General features: G+C 58.2%; 1 protein-coding gene across 1 annotated transcript, besides 5 other annotated features; it reads right to left on the bottom strand.

Annotated features, from left to right (window-relative positions):
• Nucleotides 9-578: an enhancer, noted in NCBI's record as "H3K4me1 hESC enhancer chr14:103559931-103560500 (GRCh37/hg19 assembly coordinates)". NCBI's record gives its function as "activates a minimal SCP1, AML or CMV promoter by ChIP-STARR-seq in primed H9 embryonic stem cells {active_cell/tissue: H9 hESC(primed)}" and the evidence as "EXISTENCE:reporter gene assay evidence [ECO:0000049][PMID:30033119]".
• Nucleotides 2,052-2,231: an enhancer, noted in NCBI's record as "active region_9094". NCBI's record gives its function as "activates an Ori minimal core promoter by ATAC-STARR-seq in GM12878 lymphoblastoid cells {active_cell/tissue: GM12878}" and the evidence as "EXISTENCE:reporter gene assay evidence [ECO:0000049][PMID:35858748]".
• Nucleotides 2,372-2,841: a silencer, noted in NCBI's record as "silent region_6142". NCBI's record gives its function as "represses an Ori minimal core promoter by ATAC-STARR-seq in GM12878 lymphoblastoid cells {active_cell/tissue: GM12878}" and the evidence as "EXISTENCE:reporter gene assay evidence [ECO:0000049][PMID:35858748]".
• Nucleotides 4,145-9,962, bottom strand: LBHD2 (LBH domain containing 2). The gene is made up of 4 exons (NM_001330236.2): nt 9,825-9,962; nt 8,091-8,196; nt 5,931-6,087; nt 4,145-4,475 (listed from the first exon to the last, which is right to left on the bottom strand). The coding sequence occupies exons 2-4, from the start codon at nt 8,157-8,159 to the stop codon at nt 4,375-4,377; spliced, it is 327 nt and encodes a 108-aa protein (NP_001317165.1). The 5' UTR covers nt 8,160-8,196; nt 9,825-9,962; the 3' UTR covers nt 4,145-4,374.
• Nucleotides 18,124-18,573: a silencer, noted in NCBI's record as "silent region_6141". NCBI's record gives its function as "represses an Ori minimal core promoter by ATAC-STARR-seq in GM12878 lymphoblastoid cells {active_cell/tissue: GM12878}" and the evidence as "EXISTENCE:reporter gene assay evidence [ECO:0000049][PMID:35858748]".
• Nucleotides 18,767-19,358: an enhancer, noted in NCBI's record as "H3K27ac-H3K4me1 hESC enhancer chr14:103541151-103541742 (GRCh37/hg19 assembly coordinates)". NCBI's record gives its function as "activates a minimal SCP1, AML or CMV promoter by ChIP-STARR-seq in primed H9 embryonic stem cells {active_cell/tissue: H9 hESC(primed)}" and the evidence as "EXISTENCE:reporter gene assay evidence [ECO:0000049][PMID:30033119]".

The following is a 26,477-nucleotide window of genomic DNA, read 5'->3' as shown; positions in this document are numbered from 1 at the left end:
GAAGGGACGGCATCCTGGGCAGGGGCAAAGATGTGGAGGCGGGGCCCCACTCCCCACACCAGGGGGTCAGGCGGGCAACGTGCCGCAGGGAGGGCCACTGACACTTCCCAGAAGAGGCAGCCTCACCCCTGCATAGGGGGATTCCGCAGCGAGCGTCTTAGGAAACAACTCAGGGAAAATCCAAGGAGAACGGATCCAGGCCTGTCCCAACCTGGGCTGGGGCCACCAGGGTGTGTGATGGGGCTGCTGCAGGGTGCTGAGGTGGGCAGAAATAGCCTCCTGCACCAGCATCCTCTGGCTGAGGGCAGAGGTGGCCCCGTGCAGCAGCATCCTAGGACTGAGGGCAGGGAAGGCCCCATGCACCCAGTGTCCTAGGGCTGAGGGCAGAGACAGGCCGGTGCACCAGCATCCTAGGACTGAGGGCAGGGACGGCCCCATGCACCCACTGTCCTAGGGCTGAGGGCAGAGACAGGCCAGTGCACCAGCATCCTAGGGCTGAGGGCAGGGACGGCCCCATGCATCCAGTGTCCTAGGGCTGCCACGACAGGACCAGGGACTGAGCCTCAACAACAGACGTTTATTCTCTCCCAGTTCTGGAAGCCAGAGGCCCACAGTCAAGGCATGTGTGGGGCTGGTTTCTCCTGGGGCTGTTTTCTGGGTCTGTGGGTAGCGCCCCCCCTTCTTCCTGGGTCAACACAGGGCCTTCCCACTTCGTGTCTGTGTCCATATTTCCTCTTCATATGGGTTGGGGTCCACCCGAATGACTTAATTTTAACTTATTACCTCTTTAAAGGTCACGTGTTTTTATAAGGAATTTTCCAAATAAGGTCACATTCTAAGATTGGGACTTCAACATACGAATTTTTTTTTTTTTTGGAGACGGAGTCTCTCTCTGTCACCCAGGCTGAAGTACAGTGGCGCGATCTCAGCTCACTGCAACCTCTGCCTCCTGGATTCAAGTGATTCTCCTGGATTCAAGTGATTCTCCTGCCTCAGCCTCCTGAGTAGCTGTGATTACAGGCACGCACCACCACACCCGGCTAATTTTTGTATTTTTAGTAGAGTCGGGGTTTCACCATGTTGGCCAGGCTGGTCTTGAACTCCTGACCTCAGGTGATTGGACTGCCTAGGCCTCCCAAAGTGCTGGGATTACAGGCGTGAGCCACCGCGCCCAGCCCAACATACGAATTTTATGGGGGAAAAGCAGCCCATAACAGACTGGAAGGTGCCTGAGATGCTGCAGCACCATCTGCAGAGGGGCCAAATTAGACTCAAAGATGCCAGCACCTCCTCCAGGAAGCCCTCCAATTAACCACTTGAGTCACTACCCTGAGCCCTGGGTTCCCTCTGTGAAGTGGGGTGCTAAGAGTCCCACTTCAAGCCCGAGAGGTGCCCAGCAGCCCATAGGCCCTTCCTCCCAGCCCAGTCCCACCTGCTGGCCTGAGTCCCACCCCACCTGTCTCCAACAGGCAGAGATGAGGGGTAACAGGGAATAAGCAAAACTGAGCAGAGACAGCCGGGGTCCAAGGTGGCTGGCTCCCCAGGGCTCAGTGACCTGCTCTCGGCCACACAGGTGCCCAGAGAGGCCAGGACTGCGACCTAGGTCTCTGGCTCTGTGGACTGGGTCTTCCCATACAGCCAGGCCTTGGTGGACTGGAGACTTCCCGGTCTAATTCTCCCACCCGCCCCCCAGCTCCCAGGGCATGTTGGGGTCCTGGGACCTCCAATTATGGGTCGCTCCATTCAATACACAGGTGCCTGAAAAGCTGGTGGTGCCCAGGGCCTGGGGACTGCTCCTGGAAGTCCCCTCAACTCCCATCTGCTCTCCACAGGCACCTGAGCCTGTGCCCGCTTTTCAGCATGAGGTTGCAATGTTTCTTTCATGCTATGTCCATGTTTTCCCGAAGTTTCTCAGTAAAATCCCTTTGGAAAAACCCCAGCCTTATCTCAAAGAAGCCTGGGTCACGAGGTTGGTCTGGGGTCAGGAGAAGGCCGGGTGGGGAGCCGTTAGGAGGGAGAGGCCTAGCCAGGGACACCCACCAGAGGGCAAGCCCAGCTCCCCACGACCTTGGAGAGGCACCTCAATCTCTGAGCCCCAGTTTACTCCTCCAGAAAATGGGATTGTCGTCGGGATCAAATGGGTTCACCTTGGCTGAGGACCTGGCTCCCAGGTAGGGAAGGCCAGGGAGCAGGACCCCCACCACCAAATGCTTGCCTGATCTGGGGCTCACTGAGAGGCCAGGCTGTCACACCCGGGGTGTAGAAGCCAGAGGCGGCCGCTTCCACCCTCACTGCTGCCGGGACCAGCGTTAAGCGCAGCGTGAGCACCCAGAGGCCCAGGCTCCCTCCCTAACCGGAAGCGGCTGCGGGCAGCGGGCAGCAGACCACTCTGCCCCAACCCCATATTGCAGGGTTGAGGTGGGAGCCCGGGCGGTGGCCCCAGCCGACGCCAGGGGGAGCCGCAGAACGACTCCCGCGGGGCGTCCCCAGGTCACCGCGTGTGGGGGGGCGGGACGGGGTACCGGGGACGGGACCTCGCTGGCACCGCCCCTGGCGTCTCCGCCCGCGGGCTCTGGGCGTGGCTGGGCGGTCTGGGCCCCGGCTCGCGGTGAAGGGCGGCGGGGTGGGGCAGCCCCCCGCGGTCGGGCCTCTCCACCCCTGGCTCAAGAGCACGCAGGGTCCTGGGACCTGCGGTGGGGGTCGCCTCCGCCCAAAAGCTGCCCTGCTGGACGGGGCGCGCTGGCGGGGTGCTGTGGGCGCCCTGGGACTCCGCCCGAGCTCGGCCGCTCGGCTGTGTGGGTCCCGGGCAGCCGTGTTGAGCCAGATGTCATAATTCTCACCCCGGAGCCGTGTGGTGGGGATCAAATCTCAGTAAATGGCGTCATCGCCCACCCACGTGCCGGCCTCCCTGCACCCCACATCCCACGTGCCTGCAAGGCATCCTGCGAGATGTCTGTCCCCTTTCACAACACTACCCCCATGTCCCCCAGCCTGGTCAAGCCTCTCCCTCCCTGGCTTCAGGACCGATGGGAAGGACTGGAGGAGGACGGAGAGGACTGAAGGGCCGCCCCACCCCTCACCTGAGCTATAGTCCGGGGAGGGCCCACGGGGTCCTGCGGTTTAAAACTGAAGCGGGCTGCCAGGCCAGCTTCCGCACCTCACCTCCCACCTTTCCCGCATTGGGGGGTTGGCTATTTTTAGAAGGAAGGCGGTGGGAGAAAGTGCATCTGAAAAGTGCATCTTCGTCCTGGAGGCTGGCGAGGCAGCGGGAAAGCACAAAGGGGCAGTGTCTCCTGCCTCCCTCCTCTCATGGGCCCCTGGCACACCTGCCCGGGCCACAGAAAGGCCATGGACTTGGCACAGCTGACATTTATGGAGTGTACCACTGCCCGGCCCTAAGCTTCCTCATCCTGGCCCAGGCTGGCCAAGGGCAGAGGGCCAGGTTGGGGGGACACACCTGGGGAGGGGGCCCTGGGTTACACTCGGGGCTCTGCCCCCATGCCAGCTGCAACCAGGCAGCAGGGCTCCCCTCCTGTAGTAGAACAGAGTCCAGAGACAATGTCGATGGACCCAGTGGAGGGACAGGACCCCCACATGGGGCAGGAAGAGATGCCTGCTCCACCAGCCTCTGATGCAGGTTCTGTGGCAGCCCAGTGGCTTCCTGACCTCAGGAATTCCCTCCGTAGCCGCTTGCCTTGAGCACCTCGCTTTGCACCTCAGTTCCTACACGTGTAAAATGGGACCTTCACGAAGATTTAACGAGATCCAACCTGGAATGGGGCGGCCCACCCCAGGCACCATCGCTGTGCTTTCCTACACCCGGGGCAAGTGGGTAGCAGGCCCTCAGGGTCCGGCCCTGGCCCCAAGAAGGCCCCACGGAGGGTTGGGAGGCCACCTGGAGGAGGCTGGTTCTGCCCTGGACAGCCTTGGCCAAAGCAGAGAGAGGGTCCCTGGGCAGAGGCACCAGCCACAGAGCCAGCTCAGCCCTGCCCAGCCTGCCCCAGTGCCAGGCCCAAGTGGTCACCCAAGAGGCGCTCTGGACTGGCCAGCCTGGGCTGGGAGCTGAGGCCCTCACCTGGAAGGCCACAGGCAGAGCCCAAACTGTCCTCAGTCCCTTGCATCCCCATCAAGTGTGCCTACTGGCCACCAGGAAGTGCCTTTATTTCTGCTTCAAACCACGGAACAAAGCGGGGTGTGATCCAGACCTGGGCCATGGGCAGAAGAGGGCAGGGCTGCGGTCCAGACCCTGTGACACAGGAAGCAGCCTCTGGGCTTTCCAGGCTGGGCAGGCCCGGCCCTCCTGTGCATCAGCCCGGCCACCCTGGGGCAGAGGCCCTCAGCAGTCAGACAGCAGAGCCCAGCCACGTCCTTGTCCTATCCCCGGGCCGGGGCTGCTGGGTCCTCGGAGCAGGCACACTCGCTGCCAGCGTTATCTGCAGCTTTCCCTGGTTCTCCGGGCAGACTCGGCGAGGGGGCTGCAGAAACATAAAGGCGGCCGTGTTGGTCGGCGGGGGGAGTGCAGCCTGAGAGGATCCCAGGGGCCCGAAATGAGCGTTTGGCAGGCAACTGGGCTGGGGCAGGCCAGGAGGTCCCCTCGGGTGATGAGAAGCGGGAGGGGTGCTCGGCCAGGGAGGCAGAATGAGGCTGGGCTCTGCGAGCAGGGGCAGCTCCCACATCCACCAGATGATGGGGTGGCAGAGGGAAGGGAAGTCCAGGGCAGACTCAAGGATATCCCCAGAGCCCAAGTCCCAGGGGTTACCCGAGTGGTGGTCCCTGATGCTGTCCTGGGCCCTGGGCAGAAACTGACAAGAGGCTTTGGGCAGAGGTGGGGGTTATGGGTCCAGACAGATAACCCCTCTGGCCACAATGAAAAGGGGGTTTTCTGGCCAGTACAGGCTGAGGTCTGGGGATGGGAAGAGGGCAGGCAAGGTGCTGAGCGGCCCCAGCTGCGGCTGAATTCACTTCCTCCTCAGGGAATAGACTCCCAGGGGTCTCCAGGGGACAACATCTCCCAGGGCACAGGGCACACCTCATGCCCCTTGCCCAGCCCCCAGTGGCCCTCAGAGCCATTCACAAGGCCCCCACAGCCCAGCCTGCTGCCTCTCCTGTTCCTTGGGCCTGGCGCCGGCTGCCCCCTCCTGCTCACACAATCCTCCCAGAAGTTTCAGCTTTTATTTTGAGATGGAGTCTCACTCTATCGCCCAGGCTGGAGTGCAGTGGCACGATCTCAGCTCACTGCAACCTCTGCCTCCAGGGTTCAAGCGATTCTCCTGCCTCAGCCTTCAGAGTAGCTGGGATTACAGGCGCCCGCCACCATGCCTGGCTAATTTTTGTATTTTTAGTAGAGATGGGGTTTCACCATGTTGGCCAGGCTAGTCTCGAACTCCTGACCTCAACTGATCCACCTGCCTCAGCCTCCCAAAGTGCTGGGATTATAGGCATGAGCCACCGCGCCTGGCCTGCTTTCAGCCTTTAAACAGGGCACCTGCAGCGGGATGGAGCCTGCCAACAGGCCAGCCCATCCCCCCACCACAAGCACCTGTAGGCTCACAGCCTCCCAGGCCCTAGTGAGCAAGGCACACTTGCTCCAGAGGTGATGACGAGGGTGCACTGGATAAGGAGGGGCGAGAATGTGGCATCACTCATTCAACAATTATGCACCGTGCACCTCCCGTGCCCAGGCCTGCGGCTGAGAGTGGATGAGGGACCTCATTTGCAGGTGGGAGGGAGGACGGTGCTAGGGAGGGGGGTTAAGGCCAGGCAGCACCTAGAGTCTCAGGCAGAGACTCCAAGGCGGGCGGAGGATGGAGTGTGAACAGGCAGGAGGCGGGAAGGCCTTGCTTGCTGGAGCCGCAGGAAGCACGCCCCGCTTCTGACCCTGGCAGTGGCCACTTCCTCCTCTCAGCACCCCCACAGGCACCCTCACTTACCAGCAGCAGCCCGGCTCTGAGAGGGGCCCCTCTGGGCACTCTCCAGGGGCCAGCGCAGCTCCCCACTTTCCACAGGGTCCGCCTCGCTGGGCTCCACCACGATTGAGGGCAGCCGCTGGCCCAGCCGAGGGCCCTTCTCCCAGGCACCTGCCACAGCCTGCAAGGAGGATGGGCAGGATCATGGCCATGCCAGGCCTGGCACTCCTATTCCCCCCTACCCCTGTCCTGCACACTGCCCCACTAGGGAGATCAGAGACCCTTCCCACCCAGTCCCCAGGGCAGGGATGGGCACATGTGTATTCACACAGGAACATCCCTGAGACAGGTCCCAGGCCCTACCCAGTCCCAACCCTGGGGGTAGGGTGCTCAGCCCCTGGGGTCACAGCTCTCAGGAGGCACCATAGGACGCAGCTGTGCTCAGCTCCAGAAGCCCATTGCACAGCCAGAGCCTGAGGCCGGAGAGGCCAAGGTCACCAGGAATGAGCCCAGGCTTCTGCGCACCCCCAGCTGCCTCCTGCACCCAGACTCCTGCCAGTCCCTTCCTGGGGTCTTCCCTGCTGGGCCCTTGGCCTCCTCCAGGCTCAGAGGAGCTGGGAAGCAGTTGCCATGGCAACCCAAACGGCTGGCTCTGGGCTTGCTCTTGGCTCATTGTTCAGTGCCCACAGGAGCCTGCGGGGGCTGCGTCCCCAGGCCTTCCCGGTGCCCTCAGCATCTCCACCTCCCGTTCAAGGTCTTTGAGGCTGCAGTGCTACGTGCAGAACTCTGTCCCTCAGCGCCCCGGTGGCCCTGACTTGCCTGCCCTGTCCCACCCCCACGCCTGTGCTCGGGCAGATGGCCCTGCCTGGAGCTCCCTGTCTCCCATTTCTCCACCTAGAAGGGAAGCTGCTGGGTCCACCTTCCCAAAAGAGCACAAGGGCCTCGAGGAAGGACAGCCACGCAGCAGGGGGGACTTAGCTGAATGGCCCTCGGCCACTGCAGCAAGATCCCTGAACAGTGCACATTCCTGAGCTCCAGCCCAGACTCTCTTTTAACCACGGACCATATGTGACCCTCAAGTGTGAGAACAGGTGTCACTGGACTGGGATGTCTGTGGAATGAAGGAGCTGTCAGAGGACAGCAGAGCAGGGACCCCATCCCTACCCCAAAGGCTGGATCCTCCCAGGGGCCACCCTCATGCTGGCATTGCCAGCCAGGGGGGCTCATCCCCCAGCCTGCTCTCCCTCCCCACGTGCCATTCTCCTTCCTGCCCCCAACCAAGGGTGCTCCTCTCCAAGTCTGCCCACTGGGGTGAACGAGGTCCAGGCCAGCAGCGTTTGCAGCTCGGAGTCCTGGTGCTCACCTCTGTCCACCCTGCCTGGGAGGCTGTGTCTGCAACCCCAAGTTCCAGACTGGTCCCTATATGACTCCAGGCTGGTCCCCCTCTCTAGCCCCACTGCTCCCCAACAAGGAGAATGGCTGGGCTCTAGCTGGGCTCTAGCACTCAGAATACTAAGGCTGCGACCCTGTGTAGGGAGCTTGTTTTTTTTTTTTTAGTTTCATCAGCACCTCCCCATCCCCTGCCAAAAGGTGACACTAGGGGCAGGGAACCCTGGCATTTCCTCACTCAGCAGAGAGCAAAGCGTGCCTTGGGGACAATCCCTGGGGTCCTCAGGTCAGGAAGGAGTGCTAAGTAAGCCAGGAATGCTGGCCTTCAATTTTTTTTATCCATTATACCTTTATAAAAGAGCAACAAGCCGGGCACAGTGGCTCACGCCTGTAATCCCAGCACTTTGGGAGGCCAAGGCAGGTGGATCACCTGAGGTCAGGAGTTGGAAACCAGCCTGGCCAACATGGTGAAACCCGAGTCTACTAAAAATACAAAAATTAACTGGGCATAGTGGTGGGCACCTGTAATCCCAGCTACTCCAGAGGCTGAGGCAGGAGAATTGCTTGAACCCCGGAGGCGGAGGCTGCAGTGAGCCAAGATCACGCCATTACACTCCAGCCTGGGCAACAGAGCAAGACTCTGTGTCAAAAATAAATAAATAAATAAATAAGCAATGATCTCCCCCACCCAGATGGGTAAACTGAGGCCAGCAGCAAGGCAAGGCATGCCCCAAGTCATGGGACAGAGTTTGAGGCTTGCTCCCTCCCGACCCCCCCAGGGTCCCGAGCGCATACCTTCCCTTCTGGGCCTCCAGCCCCCTCAGCAGCGCCTGGCTGTGGTGGAGCAGGCCGGGGGGTGCTCATGCTGCTGCCGCCACTGCGCCACTAAGCTGCACGAGGACTGGGAGCAGAAATGGGGTGTCTGCTGTTGGCCTGATGCTGGATCCACACTCCCCCGAAGGCTTCAGGTGCTAAGCCCACCCCACTCCACCCCAGCCCAGGCCCAGTGCCCATGGCTCCAGCTGGACCTATATTGCACTGCTCCCTGCCTGAGCCCGCCGCCAGAGGGGGCACTGGACCCTGGCCGCACAGTGTGCCTGCAAGAGGGCACAGGCAGGAGGGGAGACCTGGGAAGGCTTCCTGGAAGAAGTCTGCTGATCTGAGGCCTGAGAGGTGAGCAGGAGGTAGCTAGGCCAGCTGGGAGGACAGAAGCACATTCTGAGACAGGAATAGTGCAGGAAGGACACGGAGTGTCCTAGGGACCTAAACGTTCCTGAGACGGGAGGCTGGGAGTAGTAGGGACTGGGTTCAAGTCAGCCAGAGGCCAAGGTGCCCATTTCCTCCTCGAGAGCATGCACCCTGCACACCCCGGGCCAGGCCCTCAGCACCCACAGCCCAGGGGGAAATGAAGTCCTGCCCCTGCACTTGGCCGCACCCACTCAGGCTGGCCACAGCAGGGGGAGCCCCACTGGAGCCCTGGCAGCAAGGGCTCTGGGAAGAGAGCCCCTGGCAGGAGTTGGCACCAGCCAGACCCTTCACCTGCGCTCGGGCCGTGTGGGCTCTTGGGGCTACGCCCTGGTCAGAGGTAGAAATGGGGGTGGGGTGTGGCAGTGGCTGGCATGCAGGCAGTAGGGGGCCACGGGCGGGGGCAGCCCTGCAGGAAGGGGACAAGGCAGTGGGAGAGCAGAGACCAGCAGGATGGAATGCCTGTGACGTCCTGCTGGGGTGGGTGAGGGTGGTCCTGTGGCCGCCAGCAAAGCAGAGGGCTGCTATTCTGAGAAATGAGGTTTCTTTCACCAAACACCCCACTCAGGTCAGCTGGGGTCCCACTGAGGCCCAGGGAGGGCTAGGAGGGGCACACACTGCAGGAGGCCTCTCGGGGCAGCGGGCAGTGAAGCCACAACCTCTGGCTCCTCTGCCCAACCCCAAAGCCCAGGGATGTCTCAGTGCCCCACTGCTCCCAGGTCCGGCCCTCCATCAAGCCTCTTCTGGATCCCATCCCAGGACCCCAGAACTCAGGTTAGAGTCCAGGGCAGCCAGGACAGAGACCCAGCCAGCCTTGGGAAGGAGGCAGAGGGAGAGGCAAGAAAAATACTGCCACAGAGACCAGGCGAGAGGTGACTGAGCTGGAGACAGAGGAGAAGAGAGAGAGAGAGAGAGACAGAAACAGACCCACAGATGACACTTGGCCCAGAGAGAGAGGGATGACAGAGGCAGATGATAGAGCTGTCAGCTTGAGCCAGGCGGGGGCAGGCAAGCAGGGAACAAGTGCCCAAGGGCTGCCTTGCCCTGCCCGGCGCCAGGGTCCAGTGCCAGCCGGGGCACCACACATCGAGGGCACCCACCACCCCCAGCGCCGCGGGATCCCAGGTCTTGCTGGGCACAGCCCCGGGGACACAAGCGCGCGGAGGCATGGCGTTCCACAGCCGGGCTGACCCCGCGAACCCACGCCGTCCCGTTCCCCAAGGAGCTCGACTCAAAACTCCCAAATCCCCCCCCATGCTCCTCCCGCTCCCAACCACCCCGCACCTAGCCGTCAGGGCGCTCCCGGGGCCCGCACTGCCGGGGCCAGGCTGGGGAGGGGCGACCCTGCGCCACACTCACGCTCACCGCCCGCGCGGGTGCTGGCGCTGGGGCCTCCGCGCTCCGCTGGCTCCGCGCTCTCCCGGCTCGCTCTCCTTCTCGCGCTCCCCGCCCACACGCGCTCTCCCGGCCTCCCTCGCACTCACGCCCACCGCGGGGCTGGCCGCCGGTCCTCAGCGCCCGCGCCCTCCCAGCTCCAGCCCCCAGCAAGGGCCCGGCCTCATCTTCCCTTGAGCCGACCCCTCCCCCAGGGCCTGCCCCTGGCCACTTGAGACTGAGCCTCAAGATTGGCGTCCAGAAATTTGAGGTGCAGAATTCGGTGGGGCCAGATACATGGAAAGAGGACTCCTTCCTATTGGGGAATAAAGACAGGAGTAAAAAGGACCAAAAAAAAAAAAAAAACCCAAACTGCCGGGCGCAGTAGCTCACGCCTGTAATCCCAGCACTTTGGGAGGCCGAGGCGGGCAGATCACCTGAGGTCAGGAGTTCGAGATTAGCCTGGCCAATATGGTGAAACCCCGTCTCTACTAAAAATACAAAAAAAAAAAAAAATTAGCCAGGCGCGGTGGCAGGTGCCTGTAGTCCCAGCTACTTGGGAGGCTGAGGCAGGAGAATCTCTTGAACCCAGGAGGCAGACGTTGCACTTAGCCGGGATCGTGCCACTGCACTCCATCCTGGGTGACAGACTGAGATTCTGTCTCAAAAAAAAAAAAAAAAAAAAACCTAAAAACCCAAACTGGGATGCGCTGCAGGAAGCAGGGGGGGGGGGGGGGAGGGGGTCACCCCTCAGCCCCCCTCTCATCTTTCCAGTTCCATTCCCAAAAAGGAGCAAAACAGCCCTGGGACAAGCTGTCTCATTCAGCCCAGTGCACAGACCTGACACCTGAGCCAAGGTGCATAATCTCTGGTCCATGTAATTCCTACCCTGCAACCAGGAAGCCTCCACCGTCAGTTATCTAACATCCCACTTCCATTCAATACCCACAGTCCAGCCACGGTCCGTCTACCATTCACAGCTATTCATCTATCTTTTGCCATCCCGCCACCATCTGAGACCCACCATCTGCCATCCATCATCCACCATCAATAACCCAACATCCACCTCATCCACAATCCACCACTACCATCAATAACCCAACATCCATCCCGTCCACAATTCACCATCTACCTTCAATAACCCAACATCCATCCCGTCCACAATCCACCATCTACCTTCAATAACCCAACATCCATCCCGTCCACAATCCACCATCTACCTTCAATAACCCAACATCCATCCCGTCCACAATCCACCATCTACCTTCAATAACCCAACATCCATCCTGTCCACAGTCCACTACCTACCTTCAATAATCCAACATCCATCCCATCCACAGTCCACCATCTGCCTTCAATAACCCAACATCCATCCCATCCACAGTCCACCATCTGCCTTCAATAACCCAACATCCATCCTGTCCACAGTCCACCATCTACGTCCGTTTGTTTGTTTGTTTGTTTGTTTGTTTGTTTGTTTGTTTTGAGATGGAGTCTCGCTCTGTTCCCCAGGCTGGAGTGCAGTGGGAAGATCTCGGCTCACTGCAACCTCCGCCTCACGGGTTCAAGCAATTATCTGCCACAGCCTCCTGAGTAGCTGGGATTACAAGCACCCACCATCACGCCTGGCTGATTTTTGTATTTTTAGTAGAGATGGGGTTTCACCATCTTGGCTAGGCTGGTCTTGAACTCCTGACCTCGTGATCCACCTGCCTCGGCCTCCCAAAGTGCTGGGGTTACAGGTGTGAGCCACCGCGCCCGGCCCACCATCTACGTTCAATAACCCAACATCCATCCCATCCACAGTCCACCGTCTACCTTCAATAACCCAACATCCGTCCCATCCACAGTCCACCATCTACCTTCAATAACCCAACATCCATCCCGTCCACCATCCACCATCTACCATCAATACCCCAACATCCATCCCATCCACAGTCCACCATCTACCATCAATAACCCAACATCCATCTCATCCACAATCCACCATCTACCTTCCCCCATGCAACCACCAGCCATCCATTCACAATCCACCATTCAACCACCGTCCAGTATCCAATGTCCATTAACCATCCATCTCCAGTCACCATCCCATATGCAACCACCACCCATCCATCATGCACCCATCCATTCACCACCAGCACCCACCATTTACCAAGCATCAATACACCACTAAATACCCATTGATCCAACATTCATTCACCATCGATCCATCCACCACCTATCCATCCATCACTCACTATGTAACAGCTTTCCATCAGATATTTAACACATCCATCTACCATTCACATCTCCATCCACATATCTAATTGTGAATCATCACTCTACTATTCATTTGTCCTGATTTATCCCTTAACCTCCATCCAATCAGCAACAAGTCACCCATCTACAATTCACCCACCAGTCATTCACCATTTGCCATCCATTCATATTTCTATTAACTGTATTCCTCCATCCATCCACCAACCATCTACCATCACCATCTCTTTTTTGGTGTTTATTTGTTTGTTTGTTTGTTCGTTCGTTTGAGGCAGAGTCTCTCTCTGTCACCCAGTCTGGAGGGCAATGGCGCAGTCTCGGCTCACTGCAACCTCTGCCTCTGGATTCAAGCAATTCTCCTACCTCAGCCTCCCAAGTAGCTGAGATTATAGGTGCCCACCACACCCAGCTAATTTTTGTATTTTTAGTAGAGACGGGGTTTCTCTATGTTGGCCAGGCTGGTCTCGATCTCCTGACCTCAGGTGATCCACCCGCCATGGCTTCCCAAAGTGCTGGGATTACAGGCGTGAGCCACCACACCCAGCCTACCATCACCATCTCTTATCCATATCCACCACGTATCCATTCATTCACTATCCATCTCACAACATCCTCTATCTATCCACCCATCATCCAGCCAAAATTCACTATTCATCCAAAATCCATCCAAGTACCATCTAGCATCCATTCATATTCATCCATTCTAGAAAAAAATATTGACTGCCTTCTATGTGCCAAACATTGTTTTAGGTGCTGAGGACAGAGTAGAGAGACAGCAGTGAGCATTTATTTGCCATTATCCATCGACCATTACAATCCACTCACCATCCATCCAGTCACTATTCATGCCCATCCCACACTCGTTATTCTTTCTCCATTCGGTATCCATCTTCATTCATCATCCACTCTACCCACTTGCTATGTATCCATCTTCCTCCATCTGTACATTAAAGCATCCATTTACCACCTCTCCATCTACACACCCACCATTCATCTTTCATGCATCACTTTTCCAAGTTGTAGCCACCTACTGTTTAAACCTTCATCCATCCGCTCAGCACCTGTTCATCATTAGTCATCCAGATTCCATCCAGTTGTTATCTATCCACATCCACCTTCCATTTGTACCTCCACAGCACACAACCCATTATTCATCCAGCTAGCAATCATTCATTTATTTGCCATCCAGTCCCCATTCATGCACCAGGCAGCCACCATTTACTTGTCCACCACTCATGATCCATCCATCAGTCATATACTCATTGGTATTTCTGTCCCATCTGCCCATCCATTCTCTGTGGATAGATCCATCACAATCATCCACTACTATTTATCCACCATCCATCCACACTTCCATGATGTATCTACCCACTAAGCATCCACCATCTACTATTAATACTTATTGCCTGCAGTTTATATCCACTATGTATGGATTCATGTGGTATCCATCGATCCAACAATTCAGCATCCACGTCCGTCCATTTTCCATCTATCAATCTACTGTGTATTTATCTATTCTTCATCACTTAATCAATCACCAACTACATAGATGCATCTACCATCCATCATATTATATCCATCCACCATCTAGGATCACCCTCTACCATGCTTCCAGTGCCCATCCAATCATTAGCCATACATTCTTCTACCCACCACATACTCATTCCATCATTATGTCCATCGTTCATCCACTATCACTCACACAGACAGTTATTCATCCCCCACCAATCAGCCAGCCACCTAGTAATTAACTCGTCCATGTGTTCATCTATTACCCTTAAGTTATATTCTTATATTATCCACATACATAAACATCAGTCCACTGTCCTCACTTCATCTCACCGCCACCCATCCCCATCATTCATCCATCCATCTTCTCACCATTCTTTTGCCCATTCATTCATAAACAATACATTCATGTATTAATAAATATTAATATTAAGCATTATTGACTCCATGTCAATGCTGGATTCTGGGATCATTGAGAGAAATAAGACCCAATCCAAATTCACGATCCAATGGTCCAAAACGGAGAACCAGGTCAGGCAGAGAAGTGTCTTTGTGAAAATGCGAATTGGGTTCTCCTGGATGTGGGATGGATAGAGCTCTTTGCACAAGTTCTCCAGGAGGAAGATGGGCAAGGGGGCATCACAGCAGGGTAGGTGGAGGCCTGACCTGGGCACTGTGGCTGCAGCTCAGGAGATCTGATGATGTGGGCATAGCGGGAGGTGAGACTGGAAAAAGAAGGTAGCAGAGATTGTGCAAAGCTGAGAATGCCCAGCAGAGGGGTCAATCCCTGATGTGGGGGCAGCAAGGAGCTCTGGGAGGGTTTGAGGCAGACAAGAACCCCAGTCATCTACATTCTGAGAAGGGGCTCCCCACATCTGTACACTGCTCCAGGCAAGAGCACAGACCAGAAGGACAGGGGCCTGGCCTAGTGTCACACACCAATGCCAGAGTAGGTCAGACACCTCACACCCTTATCACTGTGGCTGCAACCGCACCCTCTGAAGACCCAGACACCCTCACGTCAGAAAGTCAGCTGGCATGCTCCCCTTCCATCGCCCTATCCCCCAAAAGGCCACCCCGCCCCCTTGCCACTTGGGCAGAAATTGCTCTCCCAACTTGTTAGTGCAAGTGGTAACTATCACCTAAGGTGTTAGTTGTCATCCAAGGTGTTGGTAGGCAGGGGCCTCCCAGCTTCTAGGGCTTGCTCCCAATGGGGCATAGGGTACTCAGGAAATGCTCAAGTCCCTTGAGCCACCAAGCCATTGAGTCTGGGGCAGGGAGCATCTGTAAAGACAGGCCTGGAGCTCATAGCTGAGCTGCACAGTTGGCCTCAGGGCCCGTTTTTGCCTCGAGCCTCGGATACGCTGCTTCTCCCCCTCTCTCCTGCCACTGCCATGGGCCTTTCTCTACAGGAGACTGGCAGATCCAGAGGCAGGAGCTGTGCCTGGCCATGCCCAGCGTCTGCTGTGTGTCTATGGAGCCCCTGGCCCTCTCTGGGCCTCCCCATCCCTGCCAATGCAGTAAAGGCATGGGGTGGACTAAGTGAAGAAGCAGCGTCCCTCACATCCTCTGGCTGCACTGAGGCTATCGTTACCCTCTCCCAGCCCTGCTCCCCAGCCTCCACACCTTCCAAAGCTTGAACAGGCTGCTCACGGTGGCTCATGCCTGTAATCCCAGCACTTTGGGTAGCTGAAGTAGGAGGATCACTTAAGCCCAGGAGTTCAAGACCAGCCTAGGCAATATAGTGGACCACAAAAAATACGAAAAAAATTATCTGAGTGTGGTGGTGCATGCTGGTAATCCCAGCTACTGAGGAGGCTGAGTTGGGAGGATCACTTGAGCCCAGGAGGTTGAGGCTACCGTGAGCCGTGATTGCCCTACTACTGCATTTTCCAGCCTGGGCGATGAAGTGAGACCATCTCAAAAAAAAAAAAAAAAAAAAGAACGGAGGTGAGGGCGGCATCTGCATCTACTGGGGTGCTCCACTGGAAGCGGAAAGCCTGGCCCTGGGCCAGAAAGGCTTGCTCTCAGTACCCTCTTGTGGCCGTCTTGGAGTAAGACACCGCAGACTGCCTGGGCAACATCAAGGACTGCGCAGTGACAATACACCACTTCGGTGTTTTACCTGCATGTCTCTGCTACATATAATCCTTCCTTCCTTCCTCCCTTCTTCCTTCCTTCCTTCTTTCTCTCCCTCCCTCCCTCCCTCCTTCCTTCCTTCCTTTGGGTGTTTTATATGCATGTCTCTGCTACATATAATCGTTCCTTCCTTCCTCCCTTCCTCCCCTTCCTCTGCTTCCCTCCTTCCTTCCTCTCTGCTACTCCCTTCCTTCCTTTTTTTCTTTCTTCCCTTCTTTCTTTTTTTTTTTTTAACAGATGCAGCCTTGCTGTTTCCCAATCTGGCCTCGAACTCCTAGGCTGAAGAGATCCTCCCACCCCGGCCTCTGGAGTAGCTGGGACTGCACAGGCTCATGCCACCAGGCTGGGCCATGTGAGCACTGTGGCCCTATGCCACAGGATCGTGATGATCCTCTGACAGGGCAGGTCCAGGACCAACTCCTGTGCCCCTTGGCAGACTGGCAGGCAGGGGGTCCTAAATAAATGACCCTGGGGCCGGGCGCGGTGGCTCACGCCTGTAATCCCAGCACTTTGGGAGGCCGAGGCGGGTGGATCACGAAGTCAGGAGATCGAGACCATCCTGGCTAACACGGTGAAACCCCGTCTCCACTAAAAATACAAAAAATTCTCCGGGCGTGATGGCGGGCGCCTGTAGTCCCAGCTACTCCGGAGGCTGAGGCAGGAGAATGGCGTGAACCTGGGAGGCGGAGCTTGCAGCGAGCGGAGATCGCGCCACTGTACTCCAGCCTGGACGACAGAGGGAGACTCTGTCTCAAAAACAAAAAATAAATAATAAATAAATAATAAATAAATAAATAAATAACCCTGGTGGAGGTTGGAGGGGCCAGGCGGGTGGATGGAGAGTGAAAGAAGAAGGTGACTGGAAGAGGCCTCCAGCCTCTCCTGGGACTATCTCACCCTGCTAGGAAGCCCTGGTGCAAGGACTTCCAGCTGTCTTCTCCCACACTAAATCCCCAGCCCCTAAGTATTGGTTGACAGCAGTTTCCAGACGTTTCCCTCTGGATGTGTTACAAATCACCCAGTTTCAGAGGGGTTTTTTATGGCCAGGAGCAGTGTCTCACGACTGTAATTTGGAAGGCCAAGGCGGGCAGATCGCTTGAGCCCAGGAGCTCGAGACCAGCCTGGGCAACATAGTGAGATCCCCCCCATCTCTAAAAAATTATTATTTTTTTTAAAAAGTAGGCTGGGCACGGTGGCTCACACCTGTAATCCCAGCACTTTGGGATGCGGAGGCGGGTGGATCACGAGGTGAGGAGTTGAAGACCAGCCTGGCCAAGATGGTGAAACCCCGTCTCTACTAAAAATACAAAAATTGGCCGGGCGCGGTGGCTCACGCCTGTAATCCCAGCACTTTGGGAGGCCGAGACGGGCGGATCACGAGGTCAGGAGATTGAGACCATCCTGGCTAACACAGTGAAACCCCGTCTCTACTAAAAATACAAAAATTAGCCGGGCGTGGTGGTGGGCGCCTATAGTCCCAGCTACTCAGGAGGCTGAGGCAGGAGAATGGCGTGAACCGAGGAGGCAGAGCTTGATGTGAGCCAAGATCACGCCACTGCACTCCAGCCCAGGCGACAGATAGAGACTCCATCTAAAAAAAAAAAAAATTAGCCAAGCACGGTGGCTCTCGCCTGTAATCCCAGCATTTTGGGAGGACCATGCGGGCGGATCATCTGGAGGTCACGAGAGAGAGACCAGCCTGAGCAACACGGTGAAACCCCTCTCTACTGAAAATACAAAAATTCGCCGGGCACGGTGGTACACGCCTGTAGTCCCAGCTACTCGGGAGGCTGAGGCAGAAGAATTGCTTGGACCTGGGAGGTGGAGGTTGCAGTGAGCCGAGATCGAGCCACTGCACTCCAGCCTGGGCGATAGAGGCAGACTCCGTCTCAAAAAAGAAAAAAAAAAAGGAGCCAGGAGTGGCGGCGCCTGTAGTCCCAGCTACTTGGGAGGCTGAGGTGGGAGGATCACTTGAGCCCGGAGAGGTTGAGGTTGCATTGAGCCGTGATCGCATCACTGCACTCCAGCTTGGGTTACAGAGCAAGACCCTGTCGAAAAAAAAAATACGGTTTCAGTTTTTTATTTTTTGGTGGGTTTTTTTGTTTGTTTGTTTTGGGACGAAGTCTCGCTCAGTCGCCCAGGTTGGAGTGCAGAGTGGCGTGATCTCAGCTCACTGCAACCTCCGCCTCCCAGGTTCAAGCGATTCTCCTGCCTCAGCCTCCTGAGTAGCTGGGATTACAGGCACCCACCACCACGCCAGGCTAATTTTGTATTTTTAGCAGAGACGGGGTTTCACCATCTTGCTCAGGCTGGTCTCGATCTGCTGACCTCAGGTGATCCGCCCGCCTCGGCCTCCCAAAGTGCTGGGATTCCCGGCGTGAGTCCCGCGCCCGCCCGGGGTGTTTGGATGTCGTCCTAAGAGGCTCCACCCACAGGGGCAGCCCCGGGGCGCGGCTGCGGGGCGCGGCCTCGGCTCCGGCTGAGGGTCTGCCCTCCTAGTGGGAGTTGCGGAGAGGAGGCGCCGCGGAGCGGAGCGGGACCAGGCCCGGGGAAACGCGGCCGGAGGCGGGGCGTCGGCAGGAGGGGCGGTGCTAACGGCCCCGGGTTCCCGGTGCTCCAGCGCCCCCTCCCGGCTCGAGAGAGGAACGCCCGACCACGTCCCTCGGCGGCCGCGGGCGGAGGAGCCGGGCGACACTCCTGTCCCCCTCGCCGCCGCCTCCAGCCTCCCCCGGCACAGCCGGAGAGAATGAGGCTCCAGGCAAAGCCAAGCAGGATCCAGGGCCGGGGCCCGCGCGGAGCCGACACCCTGCTCATAGGAAAGCGAGGCTTGCTTCCCATTGCACGGAAGGGGAAGTCGAGGCCCGGGCGCTTGCTGGTCCGGCGCAGGGAGCTCGGCTCCGGCGCGGAGCGGGGAGGGGGATCGGGCTCAGCGGGGGCCCGATCTAGGCGACTAGGAGCGCCCATCCCGGGACTGCAGCCAGGCGGTCTGGGAGGGGGTGCTGTCCTTAATTTCTGGCTTGAAGGACAGGTGACCCGGGACAGGTGGAGACGGAAGTGAGAGGGGCAGCCAGGTGATGGGGACGGCGCATGCAAGAACCCAAAGGCCGGGAGCATGGGGCTACTGCCGACACCAGAGGCTAGTCCCACCCGGTGTTGACCTGGCAACCAGCCGGGGAGGAAGGGAGCTGTCTGAGGCCACACCCGACGCCCACCGGTGTCACCCGGAGCTGAGGTCATCCGGCCCGCCCTGGGCTGGCAGAGTTCAGCCTGCCCCACCCTCAGCCCGCCCACCGCAGGGGACCTTGCTTGTCGCCTGCCCTACTTGGCCCCACTTTAACCCTGGTGCTGTGCACACAGACAGGCCTGGCAGGGCTCAGGTCTCAGGCGGAGGGTCAGGGTTGTAACTTCCAGAGCCTCTGAGGACTCCTCACTGCTGAGGGCAGCAGCTGGCAGCCTCCAGCTGGGAAGCTCTGGGGATGGCCAGGTCCTGCCGTGTGGCCAGCACAGTCTCACCTCACTAAGGGGCAGCTCCTGTTCACAGAGGTGGGCAAGGTCCTGCTGCCAGGCACGTGCTAAATGAGCACTAATTGTCGTGGGCCACCTTTGTGTAACAAACATTAACTCTAAAGTGTGTGCCCCTTCTTAAAAAGTCCTCCTTAGTACGGTGGTGGGTAAGACGGAAATGGTATGTGTGTGTATAGTGCACAAGTGTGCTGGAGAGCTACGCCATAATCCTAGCTCAGCTCACACCGCATGTCCTGTGAGCAGGCACTCTCCAGGCAATTGGCCTGAAACCAGATGGCTTCACTGAATCATGGAAGCCCTATAAAGATGGCGTAGTATCCCATTTACAGGGAGGAAACCAGGGACCGAGAGGCTGAAGAGCCTGCCTGGGGTCACAGAGCTTGTGAGGGGAGAGCTCCGTCCTGGAGTGCACCATGACACTGTGCACTGGGCTGCGGGGCCCCGGAGGCAGGAAGGTGCCGGGGTGGGGAGACACCCCGTCACTGCAGCTACATTGACACTGGCCACACCCCAGCTGGGGCCTGGAGACCTCCAGTCCCAGGACAGCACTGGGGCGGTACAGGAACACATACTGAGACTGGGAGGGAAAGAGGCTTGCCCTGGAACCACAGCTGGAGAAGCCCAGAGCCAAGGGAGGAACCCCCAAGGCCAGCGGCCCACAGGGGAGCCCTGTTGCCCTCCCTCTCCTCCTGCACCAGGGGCGCTGAGCCCTGCGGACAGGCATGATGGGTGCTGGGCCCGCAAATCATGCAGAACCCGCCCACACCCCAGCAGCCACAGGTTGAACTGATTCTTGCTGAGCTCTAAAAGCCTCCAAGGGAATCCCCTGAGCCCTAGGGGCAAAGATGTGACTGTGGCCGCCAGGGAGATAGGGGTCCAGCCCTTCATGGCCCTGGCCCCACCTGCGGGGGTTTGGGGTAGGATTCAAGGCCCGGCTAGCCTCAGTCCCGCATCATGGCTGCAGGGTGGGGCCTGACATCCTGGGCCCTGCCCTGCCTCTGTGCCCCAGAGCAGTCAGGGAGAACGGATGCCTGAGGCTAGGCTGCTTGTGCGCACTCTGTCCTGGCCTGGGCACCCATTTCCCCGGCATCCCGTCTCCCCCAGCCCCGGCCTCCCAGCAGTCAGGTCACTCAGTCATGCAGGCCAACATTTCCTCCCAGCGAGCGGTCACCAGACTCAGTGCCAACACTGCGCCCGAGGGGTGTGCAGCCTGGGTTGGCTGGGTGGGGTGTAAAGGTGGAGAAAGGTCCAAAGCGCTGGTGGGAGGGGTGGCCTCTGAGACAGTCTCTGTGCAAAGGCCTGGCATCCCGGCCTCAGGCTACCCGACCCAGTGAGCTGGGTGTCCAAGGCCATGTAGGGAGATTATCCTCTGAATGCTGGGGAGGGATAGGAGCCAGACCCACGATGGTGGTGACTGATGGAGACCTGGGGTGTGGAGTACCCCTACCCCCGCTCAGTGCAGAATCTCACGCTGGCCTCTCAGCCTTGCATGGTGGGGCCGAGGTGTTACCCATTAACAGATGAGTAATAATCTGCTGATGAGTGTATGATCTGCCCCTGGCTCAGACAAGGGAGGTGGTGGACTGGCCATGGCAGCTGTCCAGACTTGATATCACCCTGAACGTCCCCAAACCTCCCTCCCTCCACTCTTGCTTCGCCCTGACCAGAGATGGAGGGTGGTGCTGGGAATAGGAGGTAGGTGAGTGCCTGTCCTGGCCAACAGCAGAGGCCCTCGAGGGAAACTGCACCGCAGGTGTCACTCTAGAGCCCACAGCGGGGGCTGTCAACCTGGAGTGTGCAGCAGAATCGCCTACAGCCCTCTGGCCCAGCCCCAGTGACTCTGGGTGAGTGGGTCTGGGGTGCATTTCAAACAAGTTTCCAGGCGCTGCTGCCGCCAGTCCTATCTGGAGACGACTCTCTGAGAAGCACAAGGTGGCCAGAGGGACAGGAGTGTCCTCAGACCGCCTCTCCCAGAGAGTGGGCCTCCTCAGTCCGCACCCCAGACAGGATATGCCAGCCTTGAAGCCTCTGTGGACATCTCCATGCTCAGGGGCGATGCCCGGCCTCTGCCAACCACGCCAGCTTAGATGAAGTCCAGGCACCTCCCTCAGTTCACCGTGTGCCCCTGAGCGAGTCTCTCGCCCACTCTGAGCCTCAGTTTCCTTATCTGCACAGTGAGGAGGGGAGCAAGGCCACGTGCAGCTATTTGAGCAGGTGAGAGGGAAGCGCTGGGCACACAGAGGCTGTTGAGATGAGTGCTCTTGTTTGTTTGTTTGTTTGCTTGTTTGTTTGTTTTTGAGACAGAGTCTCGCTCTGTTGCCAGGCTGGAGTGCAAAGGTGTGACCTCGGCTCACTGCAACCTCCGCCTCTCAAGTTCCAGCAATTCTCCTGCCTCAGCCTCCCGAGTAGCTGGGAACTACAGGTGTGTGCCACCACGCCCAGCTAATTTTTGAATTTTTAGTAGAGACGGGGTTTCACCATGTTGGCCAGGATGGTCTCAAACTCCTGACCTCAGGTGATCTGCCCACCTCAGCCTCCCAAAGTGCTGGGATTACAGGCGTGAGCCACTGTGCCCGGCCTTTTTTAAAGGAAGTTTACGAATTTGTGTTGGGCTGTATCCAAAGTCATCCTGAGCCCCGTTCGGCCGCGGCAGGTTGGACAGGCTTGATGTGCAGTGTTTGCAGCCATGACTGAATCCTTAGTACCTCCTAACGGCCCTCTCCATCTGCCCCTCCTTGAGTTCCTGGCCCAGCCTCCACACCCGCCCCACCCGGGCGTGAGTAATTCCCTCAGGTCGTGCTGTGGGCTCTGGGAAGGGAAATCCTAGATCAGAGGCTCCAAAGGGCCTGGATGGAGGCCCAGGAGCCCCGCTTTATCCCCAAGGCAGTGAGGACCCAGGCAGGCTTCTGGGCAGGAGAGAAGCCTGCTTCGCCAGCCTCGGGAAAGATGCCTCGGGCGGCCCAGGGAAGCTGGGCGAGGCCGCTGGGGAGGGGAGCGCAGTGGCACTCAGACGGGTTGCGCAGGCGGCGCTGGTCAGTGCCTCCAGCCTCTCACCTTGCGTCATGTCATCGGCTGCTGCCTGTTAGCACCACAGAAGGCTGTCTGTACGTTCTGTCCCCAGTGTGACTGCGGGCTGCACCCGCAACCTCCGTGAAGCCTCACGAGGATGACAATAGAGGCTCCTCTTCCCCTTTCGGGAGACTTTGTGACCTCCAGCTCCTCCTCCCCTTTCAGGGGAGGCACTGGAGGTCACGGAGGTCACAGAGTCAGTGGGTGAGCCCTCTCCCCGACCCACAGGGCGTCTCAGGTGGGCCCTGCTGGCTTCACTGCTCTTCAATGCAGGGAACATTCCTGGCTGCAGTGGGGCGTTGCCCTGAAGGACATTTGCGAGGGGATCATGAGGGCAGGGCTTGTGGCCAGGGCTAGACCAGGGTGCCTAGAAGCAACAGGCAGCAGGCTCAGAAAGGACAGCGTAGGCCGGGCAGCGCCGCCAGCCCTGGGGCTGGGAGAGAACAGGCTGGCCCCACCCTCGGCTGGAAGGAAGAAGTGAAGGCCGCAGAGACTGGAACACAGAGCAGACAGCGTCGCTGACTCTTGGCTGTCTGGACAGGACAGTGACTTCTGGCCGGGGTCACTGCCCGGCGCCATGCAGCAGGGAAGGAGCCAGGAGACCGACACCCTCTACTGTCTCCTCCCTCCCTCCCGGCCTCCATCAGGACTTGCAGGAGCTGACACCAAGTGCAAACCAGACGACCCAGGCCGATGGCGCCCACACAGGTGGCCTCCCAGACACACAGCCAGGAGAGAGGTGGCAGTGGCCCTGGGGACATTGGAAGACGTGGTACATGGGTGGTGACAGCCGTGCTGCTGCCAGCTCCTTCCTGCACCAGCCCTGGTGGTCCCCCTCATTGGGCTCTTTCCAAATAGACCCACCTAGACTTACCCTAATTTGAGGGTGCCAGCTCTTTCCTACTGGGACCCTGGTTGACAGGAAAGTTTTAAGCCTGCATGCAGGGCCACTGGCCCACAGTCCAGCTTTGCTCCGAGGCTGTCTCCAGCCTGGCTCCCCTCTCCTGGGCCCTGGTGGGGTCTCCAGGACCGGCCTCCTGGCTCTCTGAGACTATGCATTTGTCCCTGGCTACTTGGGCCTCCAAGATAATGGCTCCCCTGACTCCCTGGCCCACCACCACCACTGCAGAGCAGAACAAAGAGGAGGAGAGAGGCTGTCGCCCCCCCTACCCCACCACCTGATGCACCCAGCCACCTTCCAGATGGCCCCCCACCTCCCGCAGCACTTATGGCCCCTTGCATCCCCTCCTGCCTCCCTCATCACTGGCTCTCTGCCTCCTTCCATCTCACAGACATTTCTGTGGGCACTCTCTTTGTACCTGGCCCTGGCAGGGTATTGGCCCACGCCCTTGACCTTCAATGTGGTCAGCATGGATGTTGAGAATGAGGAGGAGAGACACCCTTCAGAAGTGCCGCAGAGTCAGGCAGCAGGAAACCCTAGGAACCAATGGCAGGGTCACATGGCCGCAGGCCTGGGGACTCCTCCATGCCGGGCAGGGAAGGGGGAGCTGCAGAGACTCCCACCTGTGAGGCCCAGCCGTGCTCGTCCAGGCCTGCGGGACTGGCCCTGCGCACCTCCCCAGCATCCCAGGGCAGCCACCTTCTGCTCCCATCTGTGTCCTGAGCTTTGCTGTGCCTGGAAGGCCGCACAGGGCTGACTCCTCCTGGCTGTTTGCATCTCCCTAAAAGGTCGCCGCTGGATAGAGGCTTCCTGGCGTCCCCCATCTGTAAGGCAGGCACCCCTCACACACCAGTTGCCCCATCCGCTGTCCTCGCAACCCTCATCCCTCTCCCAGATTCTCTCTTTTACTCCCCTGTGTCCTGGTGTACAGCCTGTCGCCCCTAGACCAGAAGGGACACCCTGGAGTCCTCAGCACCCAGAACCGTGCACGCCGTGGGTGGCAGCCACTCTGGGTTGCTGGAACAAGTGACCCTGCCTTACGTCTCTAGTGCTACATGGGTTCCATGTGATAGATGCACCGTAATTTCTTTACCTGTTTATCTATCAATGGACACTTAGCTTTTTGTTTTTATTTTTATTTTATTTTAATATATTTTAATTTTAATTTATTTATTTTATTTTTATTTTTATTTTTCTGAGATGGAGTCTTGCTCTGTCGCCCAGGCTGGAGTGCAGTGGCGCAATCTCAGCTCACTGCATCCTCCACCTTCCTGGGTTCATGCCATTCTCCTGCCTCAGCCTCCCAAGTAGCTGGGACTACAGGTGCCCGCCACCACACCCGGCTAATTTTTTTGTATTTTTAGTAGAGACGGGGTTTCACCGTGTTAGCCAGGATGGTCTTGATCTCCTGACCTCATGATCCGCCCGCCTCAGCCTCCCAAAGTGCTGGGATTACAAGCGTGAGCCACCTCGCCCGGCCTTTATTTTTTTTTGAGAAGGAGTCTCGCCCTGTCGCCCAGGCTGGAGTGTGGCTCCATCTCAGCTCACTGCAACCTCCGCCTCCCGAGTTCAAGCGATTCTTCTGTCTCAGCCTCCCGCATAGCTAGGACTGCAGGAGCATGCCACCATGCCTGGCTAATTTTTACATATTTTTTAGTAGAGATGGGGTTTCACTATATTGGCCAGGCTGGTCTCGAACTCCTGACCTCGTGATCTGCCTGCCTCAGCCTCCTGAATTGCTGGGATTACAGGCGTGAGCCACCGTGCCTGGCCTAAGCTTTCGTTTTTAAAACGAGGAGCACCGCTATGAGTGTCACTGTGCATGTCGCGTCTTAGGCAGTCCCAGAAGGGGTCACACTGACGCAGGGGATGGAGGAGAGGATGAGAGAGGCCACCTTACCGAGGTGTGGGCAGGGTGCCAGCAAGTCAGGCAGGGGTGGGAGCTGTTTCCACCTTTGGGTCCTCTGAGGACGGCAAGAGGGAGGAGTGGCCGGATCCTGGAGAGAGGAGCTCCGAGGAGAGGGACCCCAGACTTCAGAAGAAAGATGTGGCCAAGGCGCAGCTCCTGGGGAACGTGGGGAACGAGTATTCCCTCCCTCTCCCCCAGCTCCCAGCCACATGCCAGAGGCCCCATTGGCCAAACCCAGCAGTCAGGGGGCCAGGTGGCCTGTGGGCGCAGCCCACCTGGGGTACAGAGCAGGATGGAGAGTGGGTCTGGAGGGGCAGAGGCAGCTATCCAGCAGCTATCCACCCTGCTGACCTTTGGTCTCCACCCTTGCCCTGTGTCTTCAGCACCCAGGGCAAATGACGTCCCATCACCCTCGACTGTGTGTGCACCAACCTGAAGGCTGAGAGCCCGGCACTGCCAGCCTCTTCACTAAGGTGGGAGGGGGTGGGAATGGGCAGGAGGGAAGCAGCCCGCTGACGGATGCCCCCCAGCCATGCTGCCTAGGCAGCGCTCCTCAGCCGCCATCCTATGGCCCCTCCCCTCGGCTGGCTCCGCAGCAACACTTTTTTTCTCTCTCTTTTGAGACAGGGTCTTACTCTGTCGCCCAGGCTGCAGTGCAGTGGTGTAATCACGGCTCACTGCAGCCTCCACCTCCCAGGCTCAGGTGATCCTCCCACCTCAGCCTTCCCGGGTTCAAGCGATTCTCCTGCCTCAGCCTCCCGAGTAGCTGGGACTACAGACACTCATCACCACGCCTGGCTAATTTTTGTATTTTTAGTAGAGATGGGGTTTCACTATGTTGGCCAGGCTGTTCTTGAACTCCTGACCTCATGATCTGCCTGCCTCGGCCTCCCAAAGTGCTGGGATTATAGGCATGAGCCAGTGCACCTGGCTAGCTTTTGTATTTTTTTGAGAGGGGGGTCTCACTAGGTTGTTCAGGCTGGTCTCTAGCTCCTGGGCTCAAGTGATCTGCCTGCCTCGGCCTCCCAAAGTGCTGGCCACCGCGCCTGGCCAGCCCTTTTTGTTTTTTTACAGCCTTAGTGAGATAACCCAAACTTTTGTTCCTTCAGAATCTGATTCCTTTATGACTTGTCTTTAATGAGCTCCCTTCCCTTTTCCTGATAATAAAAAACATTGAGCAAGAAGTACAGTCACAGCTGGGTGTGGTGGCTCATGCCTGTAATCCCAGCACTTTGGGAGACCAAGGCAGGCA

Source organism: Homo sapiens, chromosome 14 (genome assembly GCF_000001405.40).
Source record: "Homo sapiens chromosome 14, GRCh38.p14 Primary Assembly".
NCBI lineage: Eukaryota > Metazoa > Chordata > Mammalia > Primates > Hominidae > Homo > Homo sapiens.
This window is presented reverse-complemented; position numbering and strand designations above follow the sequence as displayed.

Coding starts and splice junctions, on each gene's coding strand:
- LBHD2 (NM_001330236.2), bottom strand. CDS start 8,159: ATGAGCACCCCCCGGCCTGCTCCACCACAGCCAGGCGCTGCTGAGGGG. Junction 6,088..8,090: donor CTGGAGGCCCAGAAGGGAAG/GTATGCGCTCGG, acceptor TCCTCCTTGCAG/GCTGTGGCAGGTGCCTGGGA. Junction 4,476..5,930: donor TCAGAGCCGGGCTGCTGCTG/GTAAGTGAGGGT, acceptor ATGTTTCTGCAG/CCCCCTCGCCGAGTCTGCCC.